Raw genomic sequence first — 18348 nt, 5'->3', positions numbered from 1 at the left:
ACTGATCTCAATGGAAACTTTTTCTCTAAAATCTTATGATTCAGGCATTCAACAATTTTATACTAAGGCATTAGAATACTTAATATTACATATAACATAGAATAGAGGAGATGATTACTATAACATTTAGCAATCCAAACACATATCCCCTATAAATAAAATATCTTAAAAACTGTGTTGTTTTCATGAAAGTCTAGTTAAGGTTACACAGCAGGTTTTACTTTTATGAGAAAAATTTAATAATACTTTTTGAGTTCATGTTCTTTGAGGGTGGCACTATTCAACCAAGCATACAAATGTTCTTGCTCTTGATAAGCCTCAGTGGTTAAAAGTACTTCCCAGGAGAATCCACAAATAAAAGGGATCTCTGTTTCCTTATTTCAAAACAACTGACTTGAAAAAGGAGGTCTGTTGCCCCCTTTTTTTAAGAAACTCTCTACCATGAAGATTCAACTTTTTTTCTTTATTCTGCACTTTTGGGTCACAATTTTACCAGGTAATATGCAAATATTTGTGGGGATTTATACTAACAAATTTGAGAAGACATAAGTTGTTTCTTGATAAAAAATATGATAATAACATAGGGATTAAAACATCATTTCACAAAAATGTAATGTGGTATTTTAGATTGGACTCCAGAACAGATAATAAAGACAATAGTGAAAAACAGACAAAAATAACAAGTATGAAAACTGGCAAAATCTGAATAGCTTAGTAAATACTATTACATCAACATTAATTCGTTAATCTTAATTAACATTACCAAGTTTATGCAATATATAACATAAGTGGAAGCTGGCTTCCACCAACTTTGCAACTCTTCTGTGAATCTAAAATAATATCATAACAAAAAGTGATGTGAGACAGAAATGGAGAGAGATTTTACTTTGTTGAAAGTAATGATCAGAGACTTCAGACAGATTGGACTTGAACAATGTATTTGAAGGCAGAAATAATAATTATTGAAATATCGAAGTATCACTAGACCAGTGGTTCTCAGAGAGGAGTGAATTTGTGCTCAAGGGAACATCAGGCAACGTCTAGAGACCTTTTAGCTCATCACAACTTGTACTACTGGCACAGTACCAGTTGTAGATAGAACCCAGGATGCTGCTAAATAACCTACAATGCATGGAACAGCCCCTTAGAGCAAAGAATTGTCCTATTCAAAAGATCAATATTGCTTAGAGTGAGACACCATGCCCTTGAGCTTGGCATCCAATTGACAGGGAGTATATTTAATTGATACTATTTGAATGAGGAGATGAATGCTTGCAAAGGAGATTAGCAATCCAAGGACACAAACTGGAGAACACATGTAGAGGTCAGAATGAGGAGAAAGAAGACAATAATGTTTTAGAAAGGTGAAATAAGACAAAGAATGAATAAGAGAAGGGGTGGGGTCAGTCCAAGGTGCATTCATGGACAACAGTGCCAAACATGACAGAACTTTTGCCAAAAGTGAGTATAATTCAGGTGTCTGTCACGGGTAATCACATATGGGTTTGATAATAATAACTCCTCAGAAAATGTAGAATAAGTAATGATCTTTAGAAGTGAATATTTAAATTGTGCAGATTAACTAGATGCTCTTCTATGCTTTTGTTTCTTTAAGTTGCTTCATACTCTGAATTGCTTTGGTTACATTGAGAAGAAAGCCAATATTAATAGTAGGACTTGGTTTTATAGCCATTATACCAATGACATAGATAATGTAGCTCTGAGTCTATGTATTAGCTAACAGGTATTACTACTCACCATCAGGTGTCAGCTGTTGGAACTGCAGACAGACTGCCTAGGCCAAAAGGCCTGGCCTTTGAGAAGACCAAGCAATAATTAATAGCAGGAAACAGTGGCATAATTTATTTGTTTTCATATGTGAAAATATTAAATCTGTCCTTTGGTCAAGAATTTGATGTGTATACAAAAAAAAAAGGCTACAAAACAAATGACTTCTGAAAACGAATCGGCCAGGGTACAATTTAAAATATAAAATAAAAAAATTTTGACTTGGTACAATTTAAAATATAAACTTAAAAAAATTGACTTGGAATAGATCACATAACCAATCAAACCAATGTCCTCAAACCCCCTAAATATATTCAATTCTAAATAAGAAACTTCTAGTGAGAGTCCATCTTTAAGCTAAAAAAAAAACATATCTTTTCTTACAGCTTTGACTATTACAAAGTTATTTTTGTATTGTGTCAAATTTTGTGTTTCTTATAATGTGCAAATTTTAGTTGCAGTTTTGCTCTCCTGGACATGTCTTCTTGTGACCCCAGCTACAAATCCCTCACCCATTCTTTCATGATTGATAAGAAAATATAAAGCCAGAGTAGGAGTTAACACACTTTTTCTAGAAATAAGTGAGACAACCAATATTGTAGGTTTTATGAACCCTATGATCTCAACTGCATTATTTTAATGCAAAAGCAGTTATAGACAATGTGTTAGCAAATGGGTGTGTCTGCGTGCCACTAAAATTACTTCCAAAAATAGGTGGCAGGGTGGATTTGGCTCCCTGACAATAGTTTATTGATTCCTAGTCAAAAGGTTTAATAGTACACACAGTAATTGACAGAAATTGTTTGTAAGTTATTATTTTAGAAACTTTTTTGTGAAAGAAAAAAAAAGGTATCACTGGTAATTTCAGAAATCATGTAATGGTTAACAATGGCTCCACTTTTTTTTTCTTTATCAATGTTGTTATTAGACACATGTCTGAGTTAGATGATTTCTTTGGGAAATAAACCCCAAATATTCAGGGGAGTTGCAGGAATTTAGACAAATTCACTAGCGTTGCCTAGCTCTTGACATTTTAGAGAAGCAAAATCAAGCTACAGTGAAAATCACTTGAAGAAGAATTCATAAAGCACAACATTCAGTCTAAATAATGTTAGTGAGAGCAGAGAACAGGCAGCTCAAATGCAATTAGATGATTGCAGAGAGAGAGTCTGACCAAAAGATAAATTATGGTCACTTTTTTTCCATTGATTTAGGGAACCATCCTTGGGTCACTGCCCAGTTTCTTGTAAGACAGAAAGTGGAAACACCTAACTTAAGTCCAAGACCCTTTTTATTTCTAGAATGTAGCTTGTACCAAGGGACAGTAAATTCACTTAAACTTTCCTCCATAGGTAGGTGGACATTTTCACTCTATAATCTTTTGCTTCATGGACTTTCTCCTTTTAAAACATGGATGTGTCATAGCTAGATGGCTAATTTTAGTCATTCTTCCCTTCTTACAGCCAAAAAGAAATATCCTGAGTATGGTAGCTTGGACTTGAGGAGAGAGTGCAGAATAGGTAATGGTCAATGTAAAAATCAGTGTCATGAAAATGAAATTAGGATTGCTTACTGCATAAGACCTGGAACTCATTGCTGCTTGCAGCAGTAACGATGACAGAAGAAAAGAGTCACAAGCTCCAAGAAGAGAGACCAGCGTTATTAAGTTTTCCCAGCACATCCTTCAAGGCGTGTGTGTCTCTATAATACACAAGAACTAAATAAAAATTAATGTTGAACCATTCAGAAGTGATCATATGTCACGCTCATGTCTGGTGCCTTTCCATTACACTTTTCTCCTGATTTGTTGGTACCAGAAGTAGCAGGACTTATTTTATGCAAGTTCCTCAAGTTTTCAGTGCTTCATGTTCCACAAGTTCCACAACTTTTATGTGCCTTGTGTTAGTTGCCATAAGTAAGGTTGTGGGAAACCCTAGGTCAAAGAATTGGGTAAGCATATTTCTAAAATACAAGCTTCCAGTGGAAATGCGCTGTTATTTTATTAGATACTGTTCCACAGATTACCCCCACGTAAATATATAAATCCACTGGGCTTGGGAGACTGGACATTGAGAGGGCAGATCTTTATTGTGAGAGAGACAGAGCTGAAGTGAAAGGATCATGAGTATAAGAATGGAAGACCAGAGAAGAATCACAACCAGCTCCAATTTCTACTCATATTTATTATTTTGTAAAGATAAATGTGTATCAAGAAATGAGAGGTAGTAAAAAGAAAGGAGAATAATTTCAGAAAGAAGAGGAGAAAATAACTGAAAATTTAGACCAAAGAAGTCAAAAATTATGACTAATAGTTTAATGCAGCTATTCAGTCCTGAGAGATGACTATGTCTGAGGAGATCCATGACAAAAGGAAGCAGCAATAACCTTCACTTTTCAATTTCACTCTGCCTCAGTTCCTCTACTGCTTCCTCTGAGGAGCCACAGTATTCCTCACTAGAACATGTCAGTGATGCATCTGTACCATTTGTTTTCCATTTAGAAGAGCTAATTATATTATTTTATGAGTTTAGGAATACAATTTAACAATCCATATTAATTCAAAATTCTTAAGAAACATTGTCAATACCACAACATCATAATAAAATAGAATCCTCTCTTCATACCCCTCAAAATAAAATTAACCAATATTTTGGGAAATTAACTAAAGAAAAATAAAATGTATTAAACAGTACATATAGGTCAGACTTAGACTCAAAAGGAGATGGTAAATCAAAAAATTCCAGGGGCTTCCTACTCTCTTGATATTTTTATTATGGCCTCTCTGTGGATCCATTCTATTCTTCAAATGCAGATATGAGATTTAAGTATGCTTATACTAAGCATTATCTACAACAAGCCATGAATGGGGAAATTTTTTTTTCTCCACTCAGATAAAATTTACATAGTCTTTGATTGTTCAGTGTGTTTTCTTGCAATGTAAATATCTTCAAAAGTATCTTTACAATAGTTATTTATAACAGGGTTTCTCAACCTTGACACTATTGATATTTTGGTCCAGGTAATCTTTGTTGTGGGAGCTATTCTGCTCGTTATATGTTTTTCAGCATCCTTAACTCCTACCCACTAGATGCGAATAGCACACTTTCTCCCAATTGTGATAATCAAAAATGTCTACCTATATTGCCAAATATCCTCTTTGCGGGAGGGGGCAAATTTACACTTGGCTGAGAACTACTGATTTATAAAGTCAAGCACCCATTCTCACAAAAATTTAAAAATGAAAATGGAAACAATAAAAAAATCAGTGAGATTTTCAGGTGGCCAATTACATTTTCTGTGTTTTATGAGAAATAGTTATCTATTTAAATTTTTTATATATTACATATGGGCTAGATGTGATATATTGCTGGCTCCAGAAAGAAAAATTGGCCTAACTTTTGGATAATGAATATATTAGCTACGTCAAGAAAAAGATTAGTAAAAATAAATGTTTAAAATGAAAGTTATGAAAGTTTGATTTTTATTTATTTTACCTAAGAAGAGACTGAGCCCTCTCTCCATCAAGACATCTAAATCAGAATTGAGAGGCCTAATATACTATTAATATGGGGAAAATAAGAGTTGAGTTTGTTAGGACCCACCAAGAAGATGAGAGATTTTCTAAAAAACATGTGAGGCGTCTCTGCACAAAATCTAGGCTGTGCTAAAACTCCTGGTGTACCCTGTATCTTTCAGTGCTTGACAGAGAGCACGAAAACCATCTAAATTTCTAAGGTGGCCTTTACTTGTGTTCAATACATTTAAGCCACCAGCCTCTGCCTTCAGCTCAAGGGACAAATTTAAGAAAATTGAAGGAGAATGTGAACCTACGTGCATCAACCTCAAAATTAATATTTTTTTTTTCCTGAGGAAATCTTTTAAGTGTTTTCTGCGTGAAAAAAAGACTGAAAACTCTAGAAACCCTTTTGATGAAGTTCTTCAGCCTGCTTCCTTAAAAAGATAAAGGTGTTACTAATTACTCTGCCCCCAGAATTTACATTTGTCTAAGTTTGTAATTTATTAACAAAAGGAAGGCAAAAAAATGCTTAAAAATGGAAATATTTCTGGTGATTTTCTTGCTGATACATTGTAATTTTTATTGTATGAACTTACAAAAGAACTAGATAATGTTAAACTAATTCGTTCTAAAAAACTTAAGTTTTATATTTTTCCCTCCTATGGCCCACAATATAAATTTTCATGACACTATGTATTTTCGTTCATATTTAGTTTCTTGTGAGTCTTGAGCAGTGACTCTGATAAAAATAGATGCCACTAAGTGATGGAAATTTTTGTTGTTATTTGGTAGTTCAATACCCATATGAATCAATTAAAAGCATTATATTGAAATTAGATTTATCACCGTCAAATTCTCACGTGAACTAGGAAGAAAGAAATTAGACTCCTACCTGATATCATGTATTCAAACCCAACCTATATCAGTATTTATTTTACCTCAATATCCTTGGGCAAGAACAAAATCTAATTCCAATTAGCAATGTACTTATTCAGGCAACTTTTCATAAGTGGATTACTTCTTCCCAGGCTTAATGTCATGGGTTTTGGATTTGGAGATTGAAAAATTATAGCTCCTGGCTTAAGGAACTGATATTGATTGACTACAAACTGATTTTTAAGTAATATTCAATTTGATAGAGTTCACAAATGAATAAAGCATGGAATATTCTTCCAAAAAGATCAATGTCAATTTGTAATATGGATAATAAACAGGTTAAACTACATTCAATATATTCTCCCTCATTTATTTACCAATTCAATAAATATCTATTGAACAGCTACTATGTGTCAGAGTACAATATAACTGGGACACATAAAAAAACAAAACTAACAATGTTGTCTGGTTTTATGGAGCTCATAGTATAGTGAGTGGATACAAATATAAACAGTAAATAATAGAAATAAGCAAATTATCTATTATATTACAAGGCAATAAGTGTTAGAGAAAAGGAAACAAAGTAGAGTGTAGTAGCCCACAATCCTGGGCTATAGTAATTTTAAACATGATTTGTCATAGAGCCCTATTGTAAAGGCTGAAAAAAGTGTTCATAAGAGCATACCTGGAATGTGTGGGGAACACCTGGGAGGAAAGAATTGCTGGAAAAGAGTAACTGAGGAGGTGAGTCCTGGGAGAGGAAATTGGAGAGAAAATATCTTGACAAATTGATTACCCAGGGATTTTTAGGAGCTAGAAAAGATCTTGACTTTTATTCTGAGAGCAATTCAAAGGGTTTTAGCCAGGGGAGAGACATAATTTGAATATTGTAAAGGTCTCTCGAAGTTATTAAAATAATATAAGTAGTAAATAATATAGGTGGTAAATTATAGAAGCTAAGTCCATAATAATACAAACAATGAGGAATGGATGTAGAATTCTGGATCTGTTAAATGTAGAGCTAGCTAGATTTCATGAGGGATTAAATTTTGGCTATGGCAGACAGAGGGGTCAATAATGACTCCAAGATTTCTTGTCTGAGCAATTGGAAAGATTGAGCTGTGCCATTGACTAAAATGGGAAGGATATTAGGTGTAACAAATTTTGGTTGGACGATTGATCCAATTTTGGACATGTAGAGTTTGTCATATCAAATAGATTTAGCAAGTGGTTAAGAGAAGAGACAGAAAATGAGAGTGGAGACAGTAATCTTTTGAGTTGGCAAGACAGGATGACATCTAATGCAGAGATTGAGGGACTAGCCCTTCATTAGAGCATGGGGATGCTTTCTTCATTCATAAGCAGGAGGGGTAGAATACATAGATGCAGTTGCTGATTGGCAGGTTAATTTGGTGCTGAAAGTCTGTGGAGAGTCTCAGGAATCTTCAATTGGATCATTGAATTGAAGGGAGCAAGATCATTAGCTGAGAGTGAAGACAGGAAGGATGTTTTGAAATTGCGAGGAGAGCTGAGAATTTGTAAAGGTGTTTTCAAGGAGTAAGTTGAGTAGGCTGTAGGTATTCTTCACAACTGTCCTATTTCCAGCATCTTTTTCCCGTCATTTGTTGAATATTTCATTTCTTCTTATATGTTTGAACACATATGACTTTGCCATTTTGTAAGTCAAAATTCTTAAAAATTTTACCAACCTTATATGGTTCTAATTAGTAAACACAAATTTTCTCAAGTCTCTTTCATCTTACAAAAATCCTCCCTTATTTTGTTCTTAATTTTTCTTCAAGCCACTTTCTAATCTGCCTTATTCTCTTCTTCATCGAATTTCTTGAAAAGAATCTTAGATCCATAGTCTCCACTTCATTAACTCTTTTACACTCTTCCCACCATAAATTCACTCACACCAATTAACTGAAACTCTTCTTGCTCATGTTATATATGTTTTCCTAAAGCAAACTCAAAGGTTTATTTTAATTATTTATCTTGCTGGACTTCTGAACACATGCTAGAATCGATTGCTATTTTACAATTATTAATTGAATTATCTATTTTGATAGTCTTCTAAATGTCAATGGCCTCCAATGTGTTGTCTCTGAATCCCTTTTCCTCTTATTTTGATGTGCTTTCTCTATATTATCTTGTTAATGCCAATGACTTCTCCTATCAAGTCTTTTTCTCAACCTCCGTCTTAAACCACAAAACAGTATTTATTACTACTTACCGAACCTACTGGATAGCCTCCAAATTCCTTAATCATAATTTGTCCAGAACGAAATCATATTACTCGCAAGGGCTAAAATCTGTTCCATGTCTTTTATTCTGTTTCAATATCAAACATACATCCTAAAGGCCAAAACATTGTCATTTCGTAATCAGTCACGCAGTCTTAGAAGCTAAAACACTTCTGGTCATTGCTTCTCTATGTCCCAGGTTCCTTTCCCTGCAAATCCAAAACTTATCTATTGGGCTATGTCTCATTCAGAAATATCTTCTAGGTTCACTTTCTCCTCTCTATTTTCAAGTTTCATTAACTTAATTATCTTATTCATCATTTCTTATTTAGACTGTTTTAATAAACTTTGACATAGATTTCCTGCTACAAAAATTTCTCTATTTCCTCCCTTAAAAGAGAAAAAAAATTGAAAAGATGCTTAAAATATCATCAGTTTTACCACTCCATTCATGATAATATTCAACTCCTTAGCTTGGTAGGGCCTTTTGCCACCTGTGCACAGTTTGATTTTCTAAAGTTCACATCCATATAATTTCTATTGTGCTAAAAGGTCATACCATTCTGCATAGATCACACATTCTTCAAAACATAGTATCTATGTTTAGGATACATCTTTTTGCTTGTAAGACCTTCTCCACAATTTCAGGAAAATATGCTTTTATCTTTTAAAGATCCAGCCACCTGTCATCTCCTCAGTGAAGCAATGAAGCATATATATTGCTTTTGAGTCCAACAAACCTAGCTTTGTTTGCTACTTGCTCTCCTACTCCCTCTGAAACCTTAGGAAGAGTTGAATTCAACTATCTTTATGTATGAAATGGGAAGAGTTATTGGAGTAATAAATCCAAAAATGAATATAACTGGCTTAGAAAAGAATCTGAAACCTAGTGAACACTTAATAAAACATAGCTATTAATAGTGGCAGTGGTAGTAGCAGTTAAAATAGTAATAGTAAAAATAGACTATTCCAGGAAGAGTTTACAACTCTTTATTTTGTGATGCAAGGACATTTTGCTTATATCTCAGAATTGCCTTTAAAAGTGATGCATTTTTTTTCTCATCTATGTCATCATCTCCCAACAAATAATAGTTGTCTTTTGAAGGTGAAGAGCTTAAATATTTTATTTATCTTTGTCCCCACCTATCACAGGACCAAGTGCAACATATTTGCTAACTAAATGTGTGTTGTATGAATCACAAAAAGAGCATTCTCTTCATTTAACAGTAAAAGTAGAGAAAAATATGTAAATTAAGAAAAGGTTATTTTAATCTGCCATAAATCTATAAATAACTCATTTACAGTGACAATGAAAACTTACTTCATAAAATTATGGGCCAAACAATTTTTCCTTATGTATTACCTCATTTGATTGCCACACAACCCTCTGAAGTATTACTAAATGCATTTTTCACTTAAGGAAACTGCAAATATAGGGCCTAAGTCACTTGCTAAGTTGACAGGAAATAACTGATGAATAACATGTAATAAAACATAGAGTTTTTTATTATATAATATGAATTAGGTCCCTATCTGTAATAACATATGCATTCACTCGCTCTTTTTTTTCAGTTATTTATCTTATTTATTGAGTAATTTGTTTCAAGCATTTTCCTATGTGCAGAAATAAATCAGTGAATGAGGTATATAGTGGGCCTGGCCTACTGTAACTTTAAGACGAGAATTTTGTGGTTTAACTATAGCAAAAAGCCATAGCAGGAATTAAACACTAGTAACAATGTGATAGCAGGGCATAAACAGTGAGTAACAGTGCTCCACTTAGGGTAAGGCTTTATAAGGTTTTGGTGTGAAATCCAAAAGGCAAATAAAGACAAAGGAAATGAGAATAACCTGACTTTGAAGGCTTATTAATTTTTAGCACTATAAGAGCAACCTGCATATTTTATCTCATTATATCTTTTGAAATTTCAATAAAACCTCAATTTAATAAGGAAACTGAAATCCAGTGATCTAAATCATTTGTGCTATATAGCAAAATGACAAATAAAATATCCAGTCATGAAACTTAATTCTATCTGATTTTGAAAGATCATACCTTTTCAAACTTTCAACTGACCCACGGCCTTGCTTCTGCCTTGACTTCAACTTCTATCCAGCAAGAGCAAATATCTTCCAAAACATAACTCTTTTTACTTTCAACACTGCCTCCCTCTACTTTCAACTCTGCACTTATGGATGACATTTCCAGGAGCATCATGAGGTAGGTGAAGCAGTCACCCTCAGAGATGTTATTTGTGAGGAGGTGGAGAGATATATGCCAGACACTTCCCTTGGGAGAGTGAAAAACTCCGCATACCATTTGGAAAAACTAACATTGAGTCATGGAGACCACTGCGCTTTTAAGCTCTAGCTTTCGAACAGATTTGTCCCCATCTGTGTGTATGCAGGATTGTGTTGATGTCCACAGCATATCTCCACTCTATTTGTGGTACCTCACTCTTGATGAGACTCCCAGAAACCTTCTGGAATATATTCTCCTGACTAAGGCCCCAAACTAGCATTTGAATGTCTCTTTTTATGAAAAATAGTTATCATGGGCTCAATTTCTCCAGTGATGTACAAAATGTGCGGAAATATAAGTGAGTGAAAGAGATACTATGCATCTTTCCTCCAAACAATTTGTTTTTATGTGGTATGTATCACCCAGTTTCATATCACATAAATACTCATGCACTTATGGATGACATTTGTATAGCATTCAACACCTTAAAATTGTTTTTATATATTGATATATATATATCAATATTTATCTATATGTATTATAAATTGATACGTATCAATTTTCATAACAATACAAAGGGATGTTATTTTCATTCATAATTTACACATGGCAAACCTTTGATTCTATAGTGAGCCATAATTTGCAAATAAATTATAAGCAATAGAACCAATTTTACAATGCATGCTTTTTGTTTTTATATGGTTCTATAGATTTCCTCATAACTCAAAACATTCTTATTCTTTAAAATAATTAGAAAGTCAGAACAAAATTAGTACATTTTAAATATTACTATTATTTCTATGTGTATACTTTTTTCTAATTTGAATATATCTTAAAAACCACCATAGACTTTGGTGGTTTTAGAGTTGACAAAATATAATGGCTCAGGAATGTTGATTGGCTTAAAAAGTTTCTATTCTAGCAACAGTTACAAAAAGTATATGCAATTATGCATCATTGTCTTCCTGACTTTAAATTATATCAAACATGTCTCTGAAATGACTTCAGATTTCACTAAAATTCACCAAAGGTAGGGATTCTGTCATTATAAATTAGTTTACCATTCACTAAAAAAATATATATATACATCAAAAATATATAATTTACATGTCAAATATATATATTTACATGTCATATATATGTCTATATATATGTCTATGTATGTCTATATATATATATATATTAACATGTTAAAATCCACCTGACAGTCTCTTCCATCTTACGTTTAATTATTTTCTACCAACTTCATTAAGGGCAATAAGTAAGTGCTTTAGAGATCTTCTCTAGTTTTTCTCTGCTTCGGAACCTAATGCCTGGTGAATACTAGGTACTAAAATAAATGCCTACCATTTTGATTTGAAATGAAACATTTTTCTAAATTCCAATTCGATTCTATGCAGACAATTAGGTTCTATTAACAGATATTACATAATTTAAATCTGAATTCAATTCAATTCATTCTCTAAATTTTAACAAAATTATTTTGCCTCATTTTTTCCTGACACATATATGCACACATAACAACATTTAATACTCAAAATATATTTCTGACAATTATGTTGATTATATTATATCATCCAGATAGGTAGAATGACTGACCAAAGATAGGTAAGTACATTGATAAAATTGAAAAATAAAAATATGCCTGACTCCAAAGTCTCTTTTCTACTCTAAAGGCATTTTCAGAGTACAGTTGTATCACTAGGAACAATAAAACTTTAAAGTAACAAAATAATTTACCTCCCTTTACTATAGTTTAATGTATGAATATAAAACTGTGATTTTGGAATCTCAGAACATCTTTCTTTTCATTGTCTTAGATGGTTCACAAGAAACTATAATAGAATACTAATGTGAGGCTCCACTTTTTGCTAGATAGGCAGTGTATGACAAAATTATGTTTCTCTATGTAGATCTAAAGTACTTTAGTTTTGAGTTTTCTCGATCAGTTGCCCTATCAGTGAAGTTAGTACATTAGAAGTCTTCTCTAGTTTCTCTATGATTACTATTTGTGTGACCACTATGTTCAAATAGGAAAGAGATAAAGAATCAAAATAAATTATAACTATTATAGAAGGGCTGATATTTTGGCTGCAATAACAAAGTATCACAACAAATGTCTGACAAAAATACATATAATTAAGTACCAAATTGTGTGTCACTTTCTCGTTGTTACTGTAGACTGAGCCAGCTGACATTTAGTATGGATGTGAGCTGCAAGATAAGGACATAGACATTTTGTACAAGTATAATGTTAGTAGCTCAGTCATTTTCTGAAATGATTCATAAATTCTGCTACAAAACAACTTGACGTTCCATTGTCTCCAACTTGCACACACATGATCTCATAACTGGAACAGTTTTTGTCTTTCTTTAGCAAGAAAACCCACAAATCAATAATAGACTAATAACTTTAGATATTTTTCTTGATTGCAGCCAGAAGCAATTTTGAACCAAAGTATAGATTTGAAAGATGCGAAAAAGTGAGAGGAATATGTAAAACGTTTTGTGATGATGTTGAGTATGATTATGGATACTGCATTAAATGGAGAAGTCAGTGCTGCGTATAAACTCTGGAAAAGAAGTACTATTGAGGATCAAGTCTGGAACAGAGATGCATGTTTTTCACTCAAGAGTAGGTAAAAAAATGTTTGCAACATTTAATGAAAATATACACTTTTAAATTCTAAATATATCTATTTACATATAATGAATTTAGTCTCTACTTATTCCTTGGGGATTTTTGTATTTCTCTTTTTTTATACTTTAAGTTTTAGGGTACATGTGCACAATGGGCAGGTTTGTTACATATGTATACATGTGCCATGTTGGTGTGCTGCACCCTTACCTCGTCATTTAGCATTAGGTATATCTCCTAATGCTACCCCTCCCCGCTCCCCCAACCCCACAACAGTCCCCAGTGTGTGATGTTTCCCTTCCTGTGTCCATGTGTTCTCATTGTTCAATTCCCACCTATGAGTGAGGACATGTGGTGTTTGGTTTTTTTGTCCTTGAGATAGTTTTCTGAGAATGATGGATTTTTGTATTTCAAATGGATGAACACATTATCGAAACAAGGAAACAGACTCTAATTATGTTTATAATCTCATTATTTCCACTTTGACTCTGAGACATTCATATTACTTATCTGAGTTATTCTGCTCCCTCTCTAAATATGTATATGTGACCTTATTGCCAGATTTACTATGAGGATTATGGTTATTTTCATATATCCTGGTTTCCACACCCAAATCCCTCTAAGGCATCTACTCTTCTTTAACAGAAAATGTGGTTCTTACAAACATGACAGCCACCAATTTTGACCTGTCTGATGTGTTCTTGCATACATTTAACCAATTACAGTGGTTTTGAAATGATACAATTTAACAATGCTCTCTCTGCAGGGTAATTAAGCACTATTCATAGCACGGCAAAAGGATAAATAACAAGATCTGAGATATAGAGCCCCTTTTAGCCATGTGATTCTTTTTTCAAAGAAAATCTCATAAGGAAACTCAGGAATAGGTACCTTTGTTTCAGCAGGGTAGGGCTGGTGTCTGGCCAACTCAATTTTACACCCTCAGAGAATGTGTCTAATGAAGGAAATTTCAAATTGGTTGGGGCAAGAGTTAGAATCCCATAACTATGGAGAGTTTTGCGTAACAAAGCTTGGTTAGCTGATGAGTAAACCTGACTCATAACTCAGAATAGCTCATGTTTCTAAGATCCATCATGAAATCTAGCTGAGTTAGTTTTACCTAAGAGGATAACGTTAGAAATATTTGTAGGAGTGATTTAATTTTCAGAAAGAGCTCTCATGGCTGTGCAGCTGATGTTCATATGGAAAACGGGAAATGTTACAGTAATCCTAGGAAAGATGAAGATACAGGAAAAGCAGAGATTGTGTAGTAGCAAAAATGAGGACTTTCTTGGGCACCCCGGGGACAATATTATTTACCCCCAAAATCCTCACTAAGGAAGGATGGCTTTTTTGTTTCCAGCAGTAGTGCTGTGGAGGTCAGAGATGGGGTGATGTTATTTAGTTTAACAAGATATTATTGATGTTGTGACATGCACCATGTGCTTATAATTGTCTAGGTTACTCTAACTGAAATATTTAAGTTATTTTTGTACATAGATGCAGAGATATAAGGTTCCATCTAATCAAGACAAGCAATAAATGTCTGCATAGACAGCTCTACAGAAAAATCTTACTGTTTTTGTGAAAGTACAATAATCTTTCTTACTACTTGCCCTTTGATGATAACACTATTTAACCAAGCATAGAACTCTTTTTATTCTTAATAAGCCCCAGAGAGGCAAAACTTTTCAGTTCCTTCATTTCAACACCTTACATGTGAAGAAATGTCTTTTAATACCTTTCTATTAAGATTCTACTTTTTATTTTCTTTTTTCAAAAAATTATGTTCCAGCCTGGCACGGTGGCTCACGCCTGTAATCCCAGCACTTTGGGAGGCAGAGCAGGCGGATCACGAGGTCAGGAGATCGAGACCATCCTGGCTAACATGGTGAAACTCTGTCTCTACTAAAAATACAAAAAATTAGCTGGGCATGGTGGCAGGTGCCTGTAGTCCAAGCTACTCGGGAGGCTGAGGCAGGAGAATGGCATGAACCTGGGAGGCAGAGCTTGCACTGAGCAGAGATCATGCCACTGCACTACAGCCTGGGCGACAGAGCGAGAATGCGTCTCAAAAAAAATAATAAAAGTTATTATGTTCTCTTTTAAGATCAGAATTCCACCAGGTAATATAAACTTTTATGCAGGGATATTTGTATTGCTGAATTAGAGAAGGAATCACTGGTTTATTTCTTGACAAAATAATGATAATACTCTGGGTATTAAAAGATCATTGCATTAATTACATCAGTATTATTTAGTTACGGTTATTTAGATTCTAATCTTGACACTGTAAAGTGTTGGAGAAAATGTTTGAATATAGTTATCAGCACCAAAATCTTATCTATGGTAATAGTGTATAGCTAGAGTAAGGATTGTTTACCTTTTCCTTATCTTTAGCCTATTGCCAATGAACTAATTCCCATTAAGAAAAATATTACGTTATTATTCTCTTCTGGGTACTACCAGAATATCACGTCCATTGACCTTTCTTTGAGTACAACTTGTACTACCCTTCCAACTATAAGGGAACTTGAACATAGAATGTAATAGCTAATAGCTTACAAGCTTACATAAGAGCTATCTTTTAGTGAGATTTCTTTATTTCTTTTTTTTTGAGACAGAGTCTTGTTCTGTTGCCATGCTGGAGTACAGTGGAGAGATCTTGGCTCACTGCAACCTCCACCTCCTTGGTTCAAGTGATTCTGCTGCCTCAGCCTCCCAGATTTTTGGGACTACAGGCACCCGCCACCATGTCCAGCTAATTTTTGTATTTTTAGTAGAGACGGGGTTTCACCATGTTAGCCAGGTTTGTCTCGATCCCTTGACCTCGTGATCCGCCCGCCTGGGCCTCCCAAAGTGCTGGGATTACAGGAGTGAGCCATCGTGCCCAGCTGAGATTTCTTTACCTAAGAAATATGTCATTATATCAGTAATGTTGCCAGATATCCTGAATTAATGCCCAAATACTGATTTTCTGAAAATAAACAGAAGTGTTGAAGTAATTTTTATTTGAATTTTTGCTGAAATTCATGACTCATACTTTCTGATGTGTTTCCTGATATACCACAAGCTCCTTGAAAAATCACTGGCACATGGCATACACTCAATAGATAACTCTTAAATAAACGTGCCTAAATCTTTCCTTTTTCATTTTATTCTCTTTCATTTTATTTTATTTTCATTTTTATTCTGTCTTAAAATCTCATTTTTTTCATTTTTATTCTTTTATATCAAGTTAAAGATTTGTGGTTAAAAAAATTAAGCAAGTTATTTCATCACTTGGGATCTCATTTTTTAACCTGTAACATGAAATAATTGGATTAGATTTTCTATGTGTCTTCTTATGTTTTTCTATGACTCTATAATTTTTTAAAATGTTACTGTATACATAGCAGGGATCAAAAATAAACTATAGCCCATGGACAGAATTTGGCCCTTCTCTCATATAACCTGCGAATTAAGAATTGTTTTTACAGATAAACATTTATAACTGATTTTGATGATAAGAAGAACATCATCTTATCATCATTCATTCAATATTCTTATCATATATTCAATATCTTATCATATATTCAATATAATAGATGATATATATCATATATTTAATATAACAGATATTTAATATAATATATGATGTATCTCATATATATCATCTAATGTAAAATATGATACATGATATATGTATCATCTATTTAATGTAATAGATTATATATAATCATCTTTTTAATATAATAGATGATATATATGATACATATATCATCTATTTAATATAATAGATGACATATGATACTTATATCATCTATTTAATATAATAGATGATATATATGATACATATATCATCTATTTAATATAATAGATGATATATATGATACATATATCATCTATTTAATATAATAGATGATATATATGATACATATATCATCTATTTAATATAATAGATGATATATATGATACATATATCATCTATTTAATATAATAGATGGTATATATGATACATATATATCATCTATTTAATATAATAGATGATATATATATGATACATATATCATAGTTTCTTTATCCACTCGTTGATTGATGGGCATTTGGTTTGGTTCCATGATTTTGCAATTGTGAATTGTGCTGCTATAAACATGCATGTGCAAGTATCTTTTTTGAATAATGACCACTTTTCCTTGGGGTAGATACCCAGTAGTGGGATTGCTGAATCAAATGGTAGTTCTGCTTTAATTCTTTAAGGAATCTCTACACTGTTTTATATAGTGGTTGTATTAGTTTACGTTCCCACCAGCAGTGTAGAAGTGTTCCCTGTTCACTGCATCCATACCTACATCTACTGTTTTTTGATTTTTTGATTATAGCCATTCTTGCAGGAGTCAGGTGGTATCACATTGTGGCTTTGATTTGCATTCGCCTGATAATTAGTGGTGTTGAGCATTTTCTCAAATGTTAGTTGACCATTTGTTTATCTTCTTTTGAGAATTGTCTACTCATGTCCTTAGCCCACTTTTTGATGGGATTGTTTGTTTTTTTCTTACCAATTTGTTTGAGTTCGTTGTAGATTCTGGGTATTAGTTCTTTGACAGATGTATAGATTGGGAAGACTTTCTCTGTTGGTTGTCTGTTTACTCTGCTGAAGGTTCCTTTTGCTGTGCAAAAGCTCTTTAGTTTAATTAGGTCGCAGCTAATTACCTTCGTTTTTGTTGCATTTGCTTTTGGTTTCTTGGTCATGAAATCATTGCCTAAGCAAATGACTAGAAGGGTTTTTCCAATGTTATCTTCTAGATTTTTTTTTTTTTTTTGAGACAGAGTCTTGCTCTGTCTTTCAGGCTGGAGTGGTGTTTTGATCTCAGCTCACTGCAACCTCCACCTCCTGGGTTCAAGAAATTCTCCTGCCTAAGCCTCCTGAGTAGCTGGGATTACAGGTGCATGCCACCATGCCTGGCTAATTTTTGTATTTTTAGTAAAGATGGGGTTTCACCATGTTGGCCAGGCTGGTCTTGAACTCCTGACCTCAGATGATCCACATGCCTCAGCCTGC

The 18348-nt window shown here is 33.5% G+C and overlaps 1 protein-coding gene across 2 annotated transcripts; it reads left to right on the top strand.

The window, feature by feature from the left end:
- The first annotated feature begins 382 nt into the window (after positions 1-382).
- DEFB110 (defensin beta 110) lies at positions 383-13239 on the top strand. 2 transcript variants are annotated; one of them, NM_001037497.2, is made up of 2 exons: positions 383-496; positions 3252-3534. In NM_001037497.2, the coding sequence occupies exons 1-2, from the start codon at positions 442-444 to the stop codon at positions 3398-3400; spliced, it is 204 nt and encodes a 67-aa protein (NP_001032586.1). In that variant the 5' UTR covers positions 383-441; the 3' UTR covers positions 3401-3534. The 2 variants fall into 2 exon arrangements, with proteins under 2 accessions (NP_001032586.1, NP_001032817.1); NM_001037728.2 differs by lacking the exon at positions 3252-3534 and adding an exon at positions 13106-13239 and having other exon boundaries at positions 396-496.
- Positions 13240-18348: the final 5109 nt, after the last annotated feature.

The sequence above is a fragment of the Homo sapiens genome, chromosome 6 (genome assembly GCF_000001405.40).
Source record: "Homo sapiens chromosome 6, GRCh38.p14 Primary Assembly".
Taxonomy (NCBI): Eukaryota; Metazoa; Chordata; class Mammalia; order Primates; family Hominidae; genus Homo; species Homo sapiens.
Note: the sequence above shows the minus strand (reverse complement) of the source record. Positions and strands in the feature narration are given on the sequence as shown.

Excerpts from the sequence above, each read along its gene's own strand:
- DEFB110 (NM_001037497.2), top strand. The coding sequence starts at position 442 with ATGAAGATTCAACTTTTTTTCTTTATTCTGCACTTTTGGGTCACAATT. Across the intron at positions 497-3,251 it reads TTGGGTCACAATTTTACCAG|CCAAAAAGAAATATCCTGAG; the intron begins GTAATATGCAAA and ends CCCTTCTTACAG.